The 17,961-nt window shown below is 48.8% G+C and overlaps 1 protein-coding gene across 12 annotated transcripts in view; it reads left to right on the top strand.

Moving 5' to 3' along the window:
• Nucleotides 1–17,961, top strand: part of CSMD2 (CUB and Sushi multiple domains 2) — a 651,845-nt gene that overhangs the window by 375,977 nt on the left and 257,907 nt on the right. For 11 of the 12 annotated variants that reach the window (XM_047443685.1, XM_047443656.1, NM_052896.5 and 8 more), the window contains exons 12-13: nucleotides 1,154–1,266; nucleotides 17,115–17,297. The exons of the other annotated variant lie outside the window; for it this stretch is intronic. In XM_047443685.1, coding sequence (XP_047299641.1) covers nucleotides 1,154–1,266; nucleotides 17,115–17,297 — 296 coding nt within the window. The remainder of the gene's footprint in view (nucleotides 1–1,153; nucleotides 1,267–17,114; nucleotides 17,298–17,961) is intronic. 12 annotated transcript variants of the gene reach the window in all.

Genomic DNA, 17,961 nt, shown 5'->3' with positions numbered 1-17,961 from the left:
GGTCCCAGCCTTTTCCCTTGCTCATCAGCACCCCAGAGTCAGGAGCCAGCACTGGCCTGGCCACAATCCTTACTCAGCTTGTCAGAGCCCAGGCTCAGGGATGTCACACAGGCCAGGCTGTTGGATCCCATGTGCTCTATCCGAGCTCCACTTCCATATCCCCCATGGTGTGATGACCTCTCTGCAGCTGACTCAACAGCCTCCCAAGCTCTGAGACCCTGGGTGAAGCAGAGATTAGGACTCATTAGTTCAGTTGCCCACTCCACAACCCCCTGCCTCCATCTGTGCTGGTAATTTGTCTGATCTCAACAAAAGAATGAGGTTGGATTTCTTCTGGAAATCCCAGCCTGCACAGGGGACCCCTGGCTCTGCCACTGTATCAGGTTGACCTTGGAGAAGCCACTGCCCATTCTGCACTTCCATATTCTCATTGTACTATGGGCTGACAACCCCTACCTTCCTGGCAACAGGGCCATTAAATGAGATAATGGGTAGGAAATTGATAAGTGCAGTATCTTACATGGGTAGGTGCTTGGGGTTGGGATTGTGAATTGAATCCCCCCCTCCCCGCCCCCACACCCATGCTTAAACCCTCTTCTTCAATAAGAATGTGGCCCTCAGATAATGACTACACTCTAAGCCTTGTTCCTTATCCTGGAATGGAAGGAGATGTCTCATTGAAAGAATGGCTTGGGTTCCAACTGGAGAAATGGGTTTCTGTGAGGGGAAACCCACATAAAGACAGCAAGGAGGTGGGGGTGGCGGTGGTCTTTTCTGCAATACAGGTCACACAAGAGATCAAAAGTTGCAAGAATGTAGACACCCTCTTGATTGGATTTGGCTCCAACTATCCCTGTCCCCTGAGCAAGTAAGGACACAGATCTCCCTTGTGAGCCCAAGGGTCAGGGCTAGAGAGTCAAAGTTGTGATTCAACCCATGAGATTCTACCCACAGCCAAGGGGAAGACAGGATGAGTCTTCCCAGCACAGGGAGAGCATGCTGCTGGGCTCCAGAGTCAGAAACACAGTGGGGCCCAGAATTTGCCCGAGCGGGCCTGGATCCTGGATAGTCCTTTAAATGTCATCGGTCAGGCAATCATTCTATTCGGGTGTCATGGTGGAGAGCACACCTCTAAATATCTCTCTCCTGCCAGCCTGACAGGTACATCGGTCCCGGATCTCATTGTCAGCACCAATCATCAAATGTGGCTCCTCTTCCAGACTGATGGCAGTGGCAGTTCCCTGGGATTCAAGGCTTCTTATGAAGGTAACTGCTTTTGGCAAGCCAGATGAACTGTGTCCTGGGAGTCAGAGACGGGGTCTGGATTTGCAGTCAGAATTTTTTTTTTTTTTTTTTTTGAGACGGAGTCTCACTCTGTTGCCCAGGCTGGAGTGCCGTGGCACGATCTTAGCTCACTACAGCCTCCGCCTCCCAGGTTCAAGTGATTCTCCTGCCTCAGCCTCCCGAGTAGCTGGGACTACAGGCGCACACCAACATGCCTGGCTAATTTTTGTATTTTTAGTAGAGACGGGGTCTCACCATGTTGGCCAAGCTGATCTCGAACTCCTGACCTCAAATGACCCACCTGCCTCAGCCTCCCAACGTGCTGGGGTTACAGGCGTGAGCCACCATGCCCGGCCACGGGATCCTGGTTCTCCCCTGCACTAGCTTCCTCCCCCTTAGGCATGTTATTCCACTTCTCTGAGCCCCAGCCACCTCTTTGTTCTGAGGGCCTTCTGGTTGTTTTGAGGATTATCTGGGATAAAACACTTAAAATGCTAGGCACCCAGCATCAGATGCACACCTCAGTTCCATCCCCAATTCATACCTGGTTCATGGAGACTTTTAAGAGGCCTCACTTATTTTTAAAATCTTTAGAGAGGACAATAGCTTCCCAAGATACCCTATTGGGTTGCATGTGATGAATGAGTGACTCTGTGCATAGGGCTAGGAACAGATAAACACCACTGTTGGTGGCCTGAGAAAGATGCAGACAAGAGTCTTCATCTCTTGCTTAGAATAGGCATTAAGGGAACTGCAAACCCTGGGGCCCAGGAGATACCCTCAACATCACCCTTCTGACCACTTCCAAACCCCCTTTGGCCAATAACAGCTAACGCCAGTCCCTACAAAGGTGGAAGGAGAAGCCATCCACAAGTTACTGTTAAGCCCCTCTTAGGTACTAGACGCTAGACCAGCACAAGGGGGACAGACACATCAAGTCTAGGCATCGTCTCAACTGACTTGTGCTCTAGTGGCGAGATGGAGGGGAAAGCAAACGAAGTGGCATGCAAAAGAGCTGCCTGGACAGTGCCAGTGGGAGCACAGAGAAGGGAGCAGACATCTTTTCAGGAACATCTGAAAGGGGATCAGGAAAGCGCTTTGTCACAAAAGTGAGCCTAAAGTCCTCAGAATGACTAGGTGGCTACTAGGGAGACAGGCCCAGGGAGCGGGGAGAAGGTGTCCCTTCAGTGTGGCTCACACAGCATACCCCCAGTGTACCATAGGTTCCTCCTGCTCCAGGACCTGTACTCTGTTTCGAAACTGGGTACAGGTACACAGGAGGTGTATTCGTGTTCTTGGGCTGGCTGGCTTCACACAACGGACATTTATTCTCTCACATTCTGGAGCCTGGAAGTCTGACGCCAAGGCTCAGCAGGGCCATGCCCCCACTATGGGTAGAATCCTCCCCTGCTTCTCCCTAGCTTCTGGTGGTGGCTGTGAGTCCTTGCTGTTCCTTGGCTGTAGCTGCATCACTCCAGTCTCTGCCTTTGTCATCACACAACCTTCCTGTGTGTCTCTCTGTCCTCTTCTTATAAGGACACCAGCATATTAGACTAAGGGCCCTCCCTACTCCAGCATGGCTCCATCTTAACTTGATTACATTTGCAGCAACTCTGTTTCCAAATAAGATCACATTTATAAGTACCAGAAGTCAGAACTTCAGCACGTCTTTTTGGGGAACACAGTTCACCCCATAACAGGAGGCTAGCCCATACTACACTAACAATGTCATACAATGATGTCTCCTGGGGTAAAGATGACAGCTATACTGAGATTTTTTAAGAATAGGAGGCCATGTGTCTAGGGAAGACAGAACAACAGACAGAAAATACTTATGGGGTGACAGACTCTGAGTGCAGATCCTGGTTCTGTCACTTTCTAGCTCCATGGCAGGTCATGGAACCTTTCTCAGGATCTGTTTCTTCATCTGTGAAACAGAGATAATAATACAACCTAGGTCTCAAGGGTCCTGTGAAGATGGTTAGATTAAGAAATGTGAACATAAGAAATGTTGCAAATTGCAAAGCAATTAGTGAGTAACTAATGAGCCAGTACACAGGTAGTTCAATGAGCGGGCTGTTCCGGTGCATAAAGTTACACATAAGCAGCTGTGGGGCTATGAGAGGAGCAGCAGACAAAACTATCAGGAGACCTTGATTCAGGTCCAAGCCCTGTCACTCACTACTTTGAAAAGGGGAATGGAGATGGATGCAAAGTTGCTAAGTTTTCACCCATTTCAGAAATTCTATGGATGTTCAGCAGTGAATGTTCCCAAAAGCAGGGAGAAATGATTCCATGTCATCCTCATGCCCTTAATCTGTCCATATTTTGCCAACGGTTTGAATAAGAAGTAAATAGCGTGAACTTGAAAGGGATGACAATACTAGTCAGCAAACAGAGTGCAGAAAGATCTGGGTGGGGTAGAGCCATTGACTAAATTAGTAGGAAAAGATAAAGTGGGAATAAATATCAAGTCATGATTTAAGACTTAAAAAGAAATTAGCTACTGGAATTTATCCCAGGAAGTTAGTTGTGCTTTATCCTGCCCTGAGCAGGCACCAGAGAATTGAGCTTAGATGTGGGACCTCAGCTTGGGATAGATAAGGAGAGGATTTAAGGCAATTCCTGTAAGAAATGTTGATGGCCCCCGAATGTTTATGCAGGAGAAGAAGTGGACTTGGGAGATTTGAGAGCTGTGTCCAGATATCTGAAGGGCTTTCATGTGGGAAAGAGGAATTAGATGCATTTGGTGTGATCTTGTTGGAAAAGAAAGGGACATACCACTTGTTGAAAGCCTGCTATGTGCCATAGCTTTATGTTCATTATCTCAGGGTTTTCACAGTGTCTTGCAAAGACCTGCGGTACCCTCCAGGGACCTCCATGGTAGGATAGGGCATGCCCAGGATGGAGGGTTCTGACCACCCTGCCTCTGTTTCTTCTCCTTTCTTCTCTTTTGCTCTTTGTAAGCCTTCTTTTAAGAGAGGATTCATAGCTAACCACTGGCTTGAAAGACATTACTTCATCTCATTCATTGCTTACAATGATAAAATGGCTGCTATTTTATGGATGAAGAATCTGAGACTCAGAGGGGTGAAGTAATCTGCCTGAGGTCACACACAAGTGTGGAAAGTAGCAGAGCTGGGATTTGAACCCATGTCTCCCTGGCTTCAGAAGCCCATGGATTTTCCCCTTGCACCAGAAGCCTCCCAAGGTTACATAATTTCAATTCCTTATAAAATCTTTAATAGAAGCCAAAGCTTTGCCCCAGTCAAATAGACCAAGTATCATGAGCCTGGATTCCATGTCACCAGAGGTTGGGGAGTTAGTTCACAAGTTCATTTGTCCATTTCACTCAGCCAGTATTGGCTAAGCTTTTGTTATGTGACCAACATTTTGCTGGGTGCTGTGATTATAATAGCTAGCAGCTTGGATGTGGTATAAAGCATATGCTATGTGAATGCTGCTCATGGACTAGGTGTCAGCAGGACTTCTCCTTGGAGCCGTGACAAATTAGGAAGGACAGTCTGGGTGTTTAGAGACATGGCAAACCCACAGGGACTACGTCAGGTTCTGTGCACAGAGGCAGTGGATTCTAGAAAATAGCACAGACTCTGAAATTGCACCAGACCTAGTAAATCCCAGTGTGGTCCCAGCTGTGTAAGCTTGAGTCTTGTGGTCTCTCTGAGCCTCAGTTCCCCGACTTGTACAATGGAAATAATGATGCCAATCTGAGAGCGTTGTTAGGAGAGTGAAATGAGATCTCAAAGCTCCTTGCACATTGCCTGGCATAGAGATGGTGCCTTCCCTGGGGGTGTCACCAAAGTTTCTCTCCAGCCAAACCTTCCACATTTCTTGTCCTCCAGGCCAGGCACCTGGATCTGCCTCCAGGTGCTCTGATAGGCCCTGGGTTTAGGTCCCTGCCTTACACCAGCACTCCCCACCTAGGGCCCTCCCTCCCCATACTGGCAGAGAAATGAGGTGGCTCTGTAAGGCCTCAGTGCAGGGCGTGGAGCCAGAAGTGGCAGGAGGCAGAATCAGGCTCGCAGGAGCCTGGAGGCCTCACAGTGCGTTGGAACCTGGCTCAGTGAAAATTCAAGGGGCTAAGTTGGGTGGGCCACTTTTTTGTTTTTGTCCCTTCCACCTTTGACTTTTTATATGAGGGGCAAAGCCCATCATTCTCACACCCTCCTGGTGAGGAGCCCCCTCTACTATAAAAAGGTGGGTGGGTTGAGTCCCCGGCACCCCGATGTGACTCCCTGTCCTTGCCCATCCTGCTCCTTGGGCTCCTATCACCTCCACCTCCTGGTTTTCTTTTACCTCTCTGGCTGCTCCTTCACAGCTCCTCCATGGCTCCCCACTGCCCCTCAGAGTCTATCCTCAGCCTTCAGTCCTCTTATTCTAGAACCTTCTGCAGTTGATCACGTGTACTTCCATGGTTTCAGCCTCAACCCAAACTCTGGTGACTTCCACATCTGTTCTCCACTTGCATTTCAGTCTTCCTGTTACACATTTTGATATGGCTTCCCTCTCAGCTGTCTCAAACCCACCCACCTGTATAGTCTGCTGACAACAAAATGCCCTGGGATAGGGAGTCACATGGTGGGGGCCGGGGACTCAACCCACCCACCTTTTTATAGTATAGGGAGCTCCTCACCAGGAGGGTGTGAGAATGATGGGCTTCGCCCCTCAAATAAAAAGTCAAAGGCGGAAGGGACAAAAACAAAAAAGACTGGGTGGTTTACATTTGCAACAACTCTGTTTTCAAATAAGATCACATTTATAGGTACCGGAGTCAGAACTTCAACACGTCTTTTTGGGGGGCACAGAGCACCCCATAACAGAAGGCCGGCCCATCTTTCCTACACTAACACTGTCATACCACAATGTCCCCTGGGGTAAAGATAACGGTTGTACTGTTTTAATAGGAGGCCATGTGTCTAGAGAAGGCAGAACAGCACCCCGTTTTCTCCCAGTTCTAGAGGCTGGAAATCCAAGGTTAAGGATTTGGCCAATTTGGTTTCTGATGAGGGCTTTCTTCGTGGCTTGTAGACAGCTACCTTCTCACCATGGCCTTGCATGGGCTTTCCTGGGTGCATGCACACACAGGAGAGAGAGAGAGAGAGAGAGAGAGAGAGAGAGAGAGAGAGAGAATGAGAGAATGAGCATGGTGTTGTTTCTTCTTAGACATCCATCCTCTCAGATCGGGGCCCTGCCCTTATGACCTCATTTAACCTTAATTACTTCCTTAGAGGCCCCATCTTCAAATACAGTCACACTGGGGGCTAAGAGCCTCAATACAGGAATTTGGGGGAGTTGGGGGAACACACAAGTTCAGTCCGTAATACCATCCAAAACCAAGCTCGCCATCTCTGCCCCCACACCTGTGACCTGCACCTGTGTACCCCATCTTCACGAACAGCACCACCATCCATGCCATCCCTAGGCCTCATCTCCGCCTCCTCCTTTTCCCTCTCCCCACCTCTGACTCCATTCCCAGATTCTGTCAGTTTTCCGCATCCCACTTCTGTTTCACTGCTGAGCTGAGTCCCTCCCTCATCACCTCTCACTTGAATAGTGGCAGAGTCTTCCCAACCAGCATCGCTGGCTCTAGTCCTCTCACTCCCATCTACCCATCTGCCACATGGAGCAGTGATCTTCCCAGAATCCAAATCTGGCACAATTCCCCCCTAGTTAAAAAAAAAATGACAACTTCCCATTGATTTTAGGATAAAGTATAACGTTTTCTACATGACATCCGAAGTTCTCCATAATAATAATTCCACCAAGTTCTGGTTTCTACGAATCCATTCAAGACAAAAATCTCTGCAGTCCTGTAGAGCCTAATTCAGTGCCTGGCACAGGACACATGCTCAGAAAAGCATGTAGAATTAAATTGTAATGAGGATCTACTCAGTCATAATCAGGTACCCTCCTCAGCACCCTCTCAATTCCCTTTTGGTCCACTTTACCACCTTCCTAGTGCACAGATGCCAACAGCCCATGCATTCTCTATTGTCCCTGTAGGATTTGGGGTTGGGCAAACCCAGCTTATAATCAGGATCTTCCTTTGACTCCCTGTGTGCCAGTCTCTCCCCATCAATGAGCCTGAATTTCCTAACCTGTGAAGAGGGGCTGATGAATGGTTATCTTTCCAGGGTCTCATGAGGACTCAGTATAGTCAAGCACCCAGCATAGGGCCTGACATTTAGTAAATGCTCAGTTGGAAGCTTACTCCCTTCTCTGCTCTCCAAGGCCTACAGCTCTTCTTCCAACCTACATCATTACCTGAAGCTTCAGAATTACCTCTGCCTCCATTTTAGCCCCTGTTATTCCAGCTCCTGGGGAGTTCCACACAGGATAGACATCTCGACTCAGGAACGAGCAGGGGTTGGGGGGCGGGTAGCTGTGATGCAGGTTTCTCGTAGGATGGCATAAGGCATCCAAGGGCAGAGACCTCCCATATCCATCATTTCCACTCATCCCTTAGGCACATCTGGCTGCATCATCATCATCAATACCCACTCTGTCCCAATTTGAGCAGAGAGATACAACCTTAGGGGCAGGCAGGTGGCACTCCAGTATCATCCTTTCTTCCTCATTGAAAGCATGAACCTGGTGGGAAAATTGGGGCATTTGCTTCCCAGAAATCCCTCCAGTTCTGCTTGTCACAATCCCAGGTCAGGGGGCGGGGGAGGGGACTCCTGATCTGTCAATATCTGAGCACTCTGAGCCAGTCTCCCTCCATGGGGGCGACCAGCTGTGGGAAATGCAGTCATAGTTGCAATTTCTTTGCTTCCCAGTAGAACAAGAAATATTTAAGGAACAGGCAATTAGCACTTACCAGAAACATTATAAAATTACATACAACTTGCTAACAAGTTTTAGCATCAATCTGGAAGTCTCCTTGCTTCCTTACTGGAGTCTGGAATCTGGCAGCTTAATGCTGAGTCTGGGAGGCTGGCCCAGGGGAGGAAGAAGCTGGGACCTGGACCCTACAGACATGAAGGAGCAGGACAGTAGAGATTATGCAGAGGGGCTGCCCAACAGTCCAGGGCACTCATGTTAGAAATGAGCTCATCTGTTTGTTCAACATTTTCTAAGGCCCTGTGATGTGTTGCAGACAATGTTCAGGACACTGAGGCTACAAGGACAGCAAGACAATCTCTGCCTTCACCTAATTCATAGTCCATTTTCAGTAGCATAGAACAAGTGCTAGAAGACAGGGAAATACAAAGGAGGGGCAGCAAATCTTGCTCAAGGGCATCAGGGGAGTCTCCCTGGAGGAGGTGATGTCTGAAACTGAGACTTGCTTGAAGGATGAAAAAGAGTTTGTCAGACTCCCTTGAGAGAGGGAACAGGTGGGCTTAGAAAGCTGACATGCAGATAAGATTGAGGCTAAAACCTCAGTAAAAATAAAGTCTGAGAGCAAGTTGGGGAGAAGAGGGCCAAGACTTGCTCTCTGCAGGCAGTGCCACATCCCCTTCTTCAGAACTTCACTCCAGTGGTGGGCACTGCTGAGCCCCCAGAAGAGGTGGTTTTAGAAGCAGACTTCAAAGGAGGCCAAGGGCAGCCGACCAGCATCACTCACCACTCCCTCTAGGACACCGCCTTTCCTCTTGTCAGATGCCAAGCACATGGCTATTTTCAGCCTCTCTTCTGTTATTTTCAGTACACCTCTATTTCTTGTCTTTTCCCCATAAACTGGAAGGCCCAAACATTCCAACTTTGGCCAAGAATGTCACTAACATGTTCCTAAGATGCCCGCTGAGTTTCCATGATACCTCTAAAGGTTTTTCAGGCACTGGGAGCCAAAGTTGAGCTAGATACAAGCAGCAGCTGCCTCTTCTCAAAAAGTCCCAGTGGGATCCAGCCTGTTCTAGCCCCTGGAGGCTGGGCTGGCAAACAGCAGAGGATGCTGCCGCATTAAAATTTGGTAGAAAGTAATTTGTCAGTGAGATGTGCTCTCTAAATACATAGCTTTTGCAAACGGTAAGCTTTAGTTTGGGGCTAATGCAGACAGCTTGGAGGCTACCTCCATGTCCTTTGTTTCCAGCCTCCTTTGGCTGGTGACAAACCCATGACAGTGTTATAGAGGAAGGAGATGGGGAGGGAAGAATGTCACCCACTTCATCCAGCCATACCTCCATTCCACTTGTGGCAATCGTGTGCAGAAAAACACATCAGTCCCCATAGGTGCACATACAGATGTGGGGTCTCTCACCTCCTGGTGCCCTTCGCATAATCAGAAGTAGAAAAGCAGAGTGGGGTGTGGTTCTGAGGCAATCCAGGTGGTCTGGGCATGCCCACAGGGTGTTCCTAATGCACCGAAGATGTCCTGGTCACTCACTAGGAGTTTGTGCTGATTCAACAACAGGTCTGAGCACTTAGTATGCATAAGGCACTGGGCTTGGTTCTGGAGATACAAAGAGTGGAAGGGATGCGACCCCTGGCTCTGAGGGAGCTGACAACCCACAGGATGGAGCTTAAATGACTTATTACTCATCGAACCAAGCCCTTCAGGGTCTCCCTCCAACCATCTCTCCGGCCTCTTCTCTCTTCATCACTTGAGCTTCCCACTACACTGAGCTTCTAGCTCTTCTCTAGACTCTACGCTGTTGTCCTCCATTTCTCCTTTCCTGCTGCTTTCCTTCCATCCTCTCCTCCATCCTCCCCCATCATGCCTCAAAAGTTTATTGAATCCCCTCTCTGTGCCTTGCACTTCACTAGAAAAGCTGGGATATAGACATTTCAAAAAACATTGGCTCGGTCCTCAAGGAACTTACCAATTAACAGTGGGAAACACACGCCCAAAATTGCAGCACCCGTTGCTATAACAACAGAAATGTCCAAGGGGGCTGGGAGCGAGAGAGAAAGAGCTCCTAAGTCTGCCTGGGCGATTCGAAAGAAGGTCCCACATGGGAATGCACTTGCACCAACACTGAAAGATGATTCTTTGTCTGGTAGACAAAGCAAAGGGTGTTCATTTCGGGAAGAGAGGATGGCAGGTGCCACGTTACAGCCATCTGAGGGGCGGCTGGGCTCTGCAAACAGCAGCGACAATAACACTGAGGAAATATGGTTAGTCACTGGTTACACACTGCATACTGGACATTTTGACAATTATCTTGTGTACAGAAGCTCATTTAATCCTCACAACAACCTTGTTATTACCATTTCCATTTTACAGATGACAAAACTAAGGCTCAGAGAAAATAAGTCACATGCCCAAGGTCTGTTCCTTAGTATCAGAGCCAGGATTTAGATCCTGGACTTTGTGATCCCAGAGCTCTTGCCACTGCACTATTCTACCTCCCTACAGATCACTCATTGCTGTGCCGTGTAAATCTCAAGGTCGCTGATGGCCAAAGAGCAGGCTGGGGTGGGAGGGGTAGGCAAGGGTCCTGCCATGCTGAGGAGTTAGGATTTTAGTCTGTGGATTTCAGGAAGCTGTAAAAGGATCAATGAGCAGGGGATGGTAATCATCATATTTTTATTTCTGAGTGATCTTGTGCTCCTTTGTAGAGTATGAAATAGAAGGAAGAGCCAGGGGAACCATAGGCTGCTACTGGCACCCAGATGAGGAGTTGCAAGGGCTGAACTCAGGCAGGGAGAGACGGGGTGGATAGCAGAGGGTTCTGGGTATGTGGGAGGAGGAGTCAACAGGAGGAGACTAAGGAGAGCTGAGGGAGAAGGACAGGGCAATCCAGGCTGACTCCCAGATTTGAACAACCTGTAAGAAACCTGTCCAGCGCTCCCAGCCAGAGGCTTGAGCTGCCCCTTCTGCTATCACCCAAGTCATGTGGTCAGGTCTACATCCTCTCCATTGCCCTGGTCATTTGTATTGGAATTATCTCCATACCCACCTGACCCTGAGTTCTCCAGGGGCAGGGGCCGTGGGGCAGGCAATGCTATACCTTTAGTGCTTAGTGTGGCATTTGGCACGGTTTCCATGCAAAATATTTGCTAAGCTCAGAGTATTCTGTGTGTTCCAGGGACTGTGCTAAGTGCCGGGTACACAGTGATCAAAAATACATAATGGATGCCTGCCTTCATGGGGCTTACATTCTAGGGGGTGGGAGTGAGGGGGGCTGGGTGGTGAATCATCTTGTGCCCAATGCCCAACCAGAGCTCCAGAAGAACAAATTTTCATCCTTTTATTCGCTGTTATACCCCCAATGTCTAGAACAGTAACCAGTAAAATACTTGTTGAATGAACAGATGGGTAGTTACAAGGGGCATCATTGCTATAAAGGGAAAGAATGTGGTGCCAAAATGGGAGGATTGCTCGAGCCCAGGAGTTCGAGGCTGCAGTAAGCTGTGATAGCACCACTGCACTCCAGTTTGGGCAACAGAGCAAGACCCTGTCTCAAAAGAAAAAATAAAAAGAATGGGGTGCAAAGAAAGAAAAGTAAAAGGGAAATGTCTAAGATCTAAGGTGTGTGGTCAAGGAAAATGTCTTGGAGGAGGTAACATTGTAAACCAAAGTCTGTTAATGCAAGGCGTTAGTCATGCCAAAGGAAGAGGAGAGGAAGCTCAAGCCAGGGGAATAATGAGTTAGTGAAGGAGCCAGTGAAGCCTCCCAGCCTCATGTGAAAGGCAGCAAATCCTCGTCTTCCTCCAAGCAGTGCCTCCCCTCTTGGAGCACATCAAATATTCAGTGAATTTACAGAACCACATGATACAGTCCCTTCTGTACAGACATTTTCATAAAAGACGATTCCAATTTGGTATTAGAAATGGAAAAACCTGGGGAGAAGAGTGAGATTGATCACAGATGATGGGGATAAAACAGCTGAGAAAGGGGAAGCAAATATGCTGAGTGGCAGAGCTCAGTCATGATGGACTTCTGAGGCATCTTAGAAGCAATCATCTCATGTTTTCCAGTTTGCTTTTGGTAGGCAAAAGGAGAGAGACAGGAGAAACACTCATAAAACGGAATTATATTAAACCAGATAACAGGAAATTGCATGTGTGATTTTTCTGCAAGTCAAAATCCATTTGTCTATTTGCAATTCTGGGTCCTGACGTCAGACTTGGTCAGCACCTGACCAGAAGTGCCAAGATCAAACACCTTTCAGGCAGGGCAGTGGAGCACAGGGAGCCCTTTGCAGGAAGGCAGCGGCCGTGGTCTCTGTGTTTCCAGCAGGAGTTGACTCTGAGCTTGGAGAGAAGGCTTAGGCCAGGACAGGAGGTGTCAAAGGGACAGAAGCCAGCCAGCAGCCCCCTCTGCCTTCCTGGAAGGAGCTCCCAAACTCTCACCCCACCCTGCTCTGTTCTTCCTCTTCCTTCCACCCAATCTTGATTCTCTGAGCAACACATCCCCCAATGCCTTAGAACTCTTTGCCAAATGCTTCCTTGAATCTGAGTTCCCGTGAAGTCACCACGACCCTGTAGCCCTCTGCAGTGCTAGCAGCTCACTTCCCCACACCCAATGAACTTCACCTTGAGAGGGGCTCGTATGCTTGCTCGCCGATGCCATTCCACCCACGTGTAAACCCCTTCCCCTTTGACCTTATGCTGTCTTCAGCTCTGACACTTTCTACCCCTCCTCATCACTGTCACTGATCTCCTCCTCCCTACTTGCCATCACCTTGCCTCTCAGGCCTTGACCTTCTCACTTCCTTTCAGTGTACTTCACCCTGGCTGCAGCTGGACCTCATCATCAAGCACCTCTGAAATCTCAATTCCACATACTTCAGCTTTTTCACATGACACTCCCTTTACTCCTGCCCATCATCCCTTCCCATCCTCTATTTCCCCCATCGCCCCCTGCTCCTTTCACCTCTTTCCTTCTTCATTCTAAGCCTCTTGGATAACACTTTGGCCATTCTTTTTAACAACATGTTCAGCTCCTTTGCCCCGTTGTCTTCCATTTCTCCAAGCCCAATCCCCCCTCACTCAGTCAATCCTCCTACCCCTTTCTCTACTTCTACAGGAACTGAGTGGCCAAGGGCTGCTGGGACAAGTCATATAGCCCTGCTGGATGGTATCCCTACAAATGAGTCATCTGCACCCTCGGCGGGCCCCAGAGGTGCATGGCAATCCATCTAGGCATGATTTCCTCTTCTCCAGAGTGACAGCTTCAGACATTCTCTTCAAGTCGTTTTCCCATGACTTGTCCCTCACCTTCAGCAAAGACTGTGACCTCCTCCACTTAGAAAATAGAGCCTGTGTCATCACAGGATCTCCCTCGGTCTCCTGCCATCCTACCTGAAAACTCACTGCCACCACTTCTTCCCTCTTTACTGCAGTCTTGAGGGAAGGACATCCCTCACGGTCTCTAAGGCTGGGCCTCTAGTGTGCTCTCAGTCCCATGCCTCTCTCCTTCTCTGGAGCCCCTGTAGGGGGCCCCTTTCTCCTCCACATCTTCAGCTAACCATTCAATACATCTTTCCTCCCACCCCTTCATTCTTCTCTAGCATTTCAATATGGTCAAGTTTCTCCTGTACTAAACTACTTTAACCACTCCCACCCAGGCCATATGCCTCATGAGCTGCTACCTAATTTCTCTAGAGAGAGTGATATCACCTTCTCTTCTCCTGTTTGGTATTGGCCCCATCAGTACACACAATCCTGGCAGTATCAATGTGACCTCTTTTTGCTAACCTGTTTTTCAATCCTATGTAAACTTCCCTGCAGCATTCAAGGCTGTTGATCTCCTTCTTGAAACTCATTCTTCTTTAAGCTCCTGTGACCCCACTCTCCCAGTCTAGCATTCTGCTGGTCCCTACATTGTTCCTAACTGTCCTGTCCTAGACCAACATCCCTTCTCACTCTCCTTGGGTAATTTCATCCTTGTCATGGCTTCTTTTACAATCTATGAGCTGAATTTCTAGACCAGGCTTCTCTCTTGAACTTAAGACCCATATAGCCACTTCCTGCTAGATATTTCCACTTGGAGGTCCCACTAGTACCTTAAAACTCAGCATCCCCTACTGATGACCCTCCATTCAGACCTATACCTCTTTCTGCATTCTTGTCTCAGTGAGGGTACACCCAAGTGCTCAGGCCAGGCACTTAGTTATGTAACTAAAGTTAGCTGTGACAATAACTATTGGGTTATTGGAGGACCACATCCTCCAAGAAGCCTTTCCTGACCCAGGTCTGGGACTAGGGTCAGGTGAGCAGGGCACTCATGGGCACGAAATTTAAGTGATGGGGAAAAAAAAACTCAGCAATTAAGATAAATAACACTTAATGCAAATTTTTTTTAAAAATTAATATTAGTGCAAAATATCCGTGTTAAAACACATCAACATTTGAATCAAAGACAGGCTCTGACAGTGCTGGGACTATGGTGAAGACCAGTGAGGTGAGTGATCTGAGCATAGGGTTGGATCCAGGCTTTATTTTAAATGTTGGTATTTTTCTTCATTGTGAATTGGATTTATGGCATTAATTGTAATTTTCTAGAAAAAAATATCGCACTAAGATATTATTTGTCATGATAACTGAGATTTTGGCGCCCCTTGAAATTTTGTAGATGAGGTTAGTACTTCCATTCTCCACACCCTATTTCCAGACTGATCCTCCACATTTGAGTTAGGTGCTTCTCCTATGTGCATCCACAGCACGAATCCCCTGTATCATAAACACCTATTTCCTTGTCTGTTCATTTCTTGAGGGCAGAGACCATATCCAGATGTCAAGGGTCTAGCACAGCAACTGGCACATAGTAGGTGCTCATTGCATTGTTCGTAAGTGGGTGCCTGTGATTGCATGATGGTAGGAGGAAGTGATGGGTGGGTGGATGTGGGCATGTGCGCAGGGCTGTGCCTACACGATGGGAAGGCTGGGCAGATTCCTTCATCCCCCTTAGGATCCCCTTTTTCTTAAGCCAATCACAGCCTCAGACTAGCTGCTGTGGGCAGGAACACAGGCACATGTACCCCACGTGCATATCTCCTGCAGCAATGGTGGGGCCTCACTAGGAAACCTTATATCTGGGTTCTGCCCCTGGCAGCAGGAAGGATCCAGCTCTGTCTTGAAATGCTGTGTAACTTTCACCAGGTCTCAAAATGCCTGCAGTGACAGCCCTCACACCCCAGGCTCTCGCATCCCAGAGAGCATGTCTGGGGACATCTGGAGGCAGGTGGGTCCTGCTGCTTGCTTCTCCACGTTGACTTATCACAGGAGCCCCTTCTTTCCTTCAGATTCCCTGGAGCTCTGGGACCTGTAGCAAAGGGACCATGTTCCTGGAATGCCTCAGTGTATCCCCTCCCCCATCCCTGAGCCTGAGCAAAGCCAGCTTCAGAGGGGTTTCAGCTATGTTTTCAGCAGATGTACTTGTAGAGGGTGAGGCCAGGGGGACATGTGAGGTGAGAGGCAAGTGGGCTGACTTACATTTGATTTGAGATGCCTCACACCTGGCACATGGTCACACAGACTCCCCTGCACAAAGGGGAGGACCCTTGTTGTTCAACTTAGATGATCACACACACACACACACACACACACACACACACACACACACAATCCCAGCCATAGAATGCCTTGTCCTGCCTGCTCTCAGCACAAAGCTGGCAGCCTTCGTTTTGGGTTAACATGAATGCAACAGTCAAGAGCCCGCCCATAAAAGGCAGTGCCTGGAGCTGCCCAGCCCACAGAAGCCCCCAGTGTGGTAGGAAAGCCTTTGCAGAATCATCCCTGTCAGGATCACACACACCAACTTCAGGGACTGTGGCTCTGACAGCCCATGATGGTGTCTACCGAACAGGCAGGGTCCCTTTTTCCTGAGAATCCTAGGTAGTGTCCAAAAAACTCCCCTGATGACTCTGGGCCCCTCTCTCCCAAATCTCGGGACTCATACAGTCCTCACCTCACCGTCTGGCACTGGCTTCATGACCTCCTGTCTATCCTGCAGGACGCCCTTCTCCCCGGAAACAGAGCTCCCCTCCTTCCCTCTTCTTCCTCCTCCCCTCCACCACCCCCTCCTCCTCGTCCATCTCTCACAGCATTAAGCACAGCATGAGTGGGAGTGGAGGTGACTCCAGAGGAAGCTCCAGAGGCTTGGCCAGGACATACTCCTTTCCAGAAGCATCTGGATCCTGACTGCCTCTCCGGTGAGGTAGCCAGCCCATCATGCCCACTGGGTTCAGGGCCCCCAGAGCTGTCTCAGGGAACCCACTCCATGTCTGTCTCACCACTGTTGACTCAAGTGAACTTTCAAAGCATACTCAATGAGTCATTTGTTTCATTTTACCTGCTACCATTGCAAATTGAATTAAGGAAACATCTCCATGAAGGTTCTTCCACATCAGCAGGCAGTGAACATTTATTCTCAATTAATCTCTGGTTTGGGAAAAAGACAGGGAGCAAAGCCTCAACTGCTGTGTCATCTTGACTTGCCTTTGCTGCTCAGAAATGGACTGTACTTGAGATCTGTCGTGACATTAGCAGTTCAGATGCAAGGTCAGGTTCAGTGAGGAAGTCTCCAAAGACTTCTAATGCTGTGGAACTTGTTGCTCCTGGGACAGGTAACCTGTGAAGAATGTAGACCCACCTTCTCCCTAAAATTGCTTCATCTCATATTGGATTTAGGGAGGGGTAAGGGATCAAAACATCCAAGCATCTAGAACACTTTATGTGGACACAGAGTCTCAGGCACTTGATAGCTGGAAGCCCATTCATCCTAGGATGCTGCGATGAAACAGGACATTGCAGGATTTCTCACAAACCTCATTCCTTATAAGAACGTTGAATCCTACCTGTGTCACTCTGAGCACTGACTTATGGCAGAAGAGCAGTAGAGCTTGTCATGTGGACCTTCAGCTCCAAAAGAGGTATAAAGTCACCTTTTGTCTCTGTTTTCTCATCTTCCTGTCTTTCAGAGATCGAGCAGGGCAGTTGCGGTGACCCTGGCATACCTGCATATGGCCGGAGGGAAGGCTCCCGGTTTCACCACGGTGACACACTCAAGTTTGAGTGCCAGCCCGCCTTTGAGCTGGTGGGACAGAAGGCAATCACATGCCAAAAGAATAACCAATGGTCGGCTAAGAAGCCAGGCTGCGTGTGTAAGTGAGCAGGGAGGAGGCCACGCCAGGGTCTTCACTGAGAGGCAGGGGCCCGTTTCCTAGCTAATCCAGGGGCCCCGTCCCTGGGAACCTTGCAGGTTGTAACAACAGCTGCACTCTGGTTGGTTTATTCTACTCCTCGGAACGTTGCTGGTGGGGTCCTTATTTCTGGCAGGAATGTCGACTGTAGCACTGAGAACAAGTGCTCCTGACATTTGGGGATGCTCTTCAACACCGTCTTACCCTTCTTGGTGATCCTTAAGAGCAAGGAGACACCACTGGGACAAAGCCCACCAGGCTCAGACCCAGACATTTCCTGCTCACCGTCATTGCCACCCCTGACACCATCTAATCCAGCAGGGTGGAAGGGACTGTCAAGTTTGTAAGGCTGTAGACACCACCAGCCTCCAGTAACTGTGGGAAACTGGCCTTGCCAGGATATAAACAGTTTCCTAAAATTGCTTTATCTCATATTGGATTTAGGGAGGGAAAAGGGATCAAGCTATCTTTGGACTGTTGATCTTTTGGGGAAGGGGTTGGAGTTGAGTGCTCTGTTCTGTGGAGATAACAAAGAAGCCCTTCTTCCTTCCTCTTGGATGACCTGACCATACTTTGCAGCACAAATGATATCTTAAATCTTCAGTCGCGTTGGGATTGGCAAGGA

Source organism: Homo sapiens, chromosome 1 (genome assembly GCF_000001405.40).
Source record: "Homo sapiens chromosome 1, GRCh38.p14 Primary Assembly".
Lineage (NCBI taxonomy): Eukaryota > Metazoa > Chordata > Mammalia > Primates > Hominidae > Homo > Homo sapiens.
This window is presented reverse-complemented; position numbering and strand designations above follow the sequence as displayed.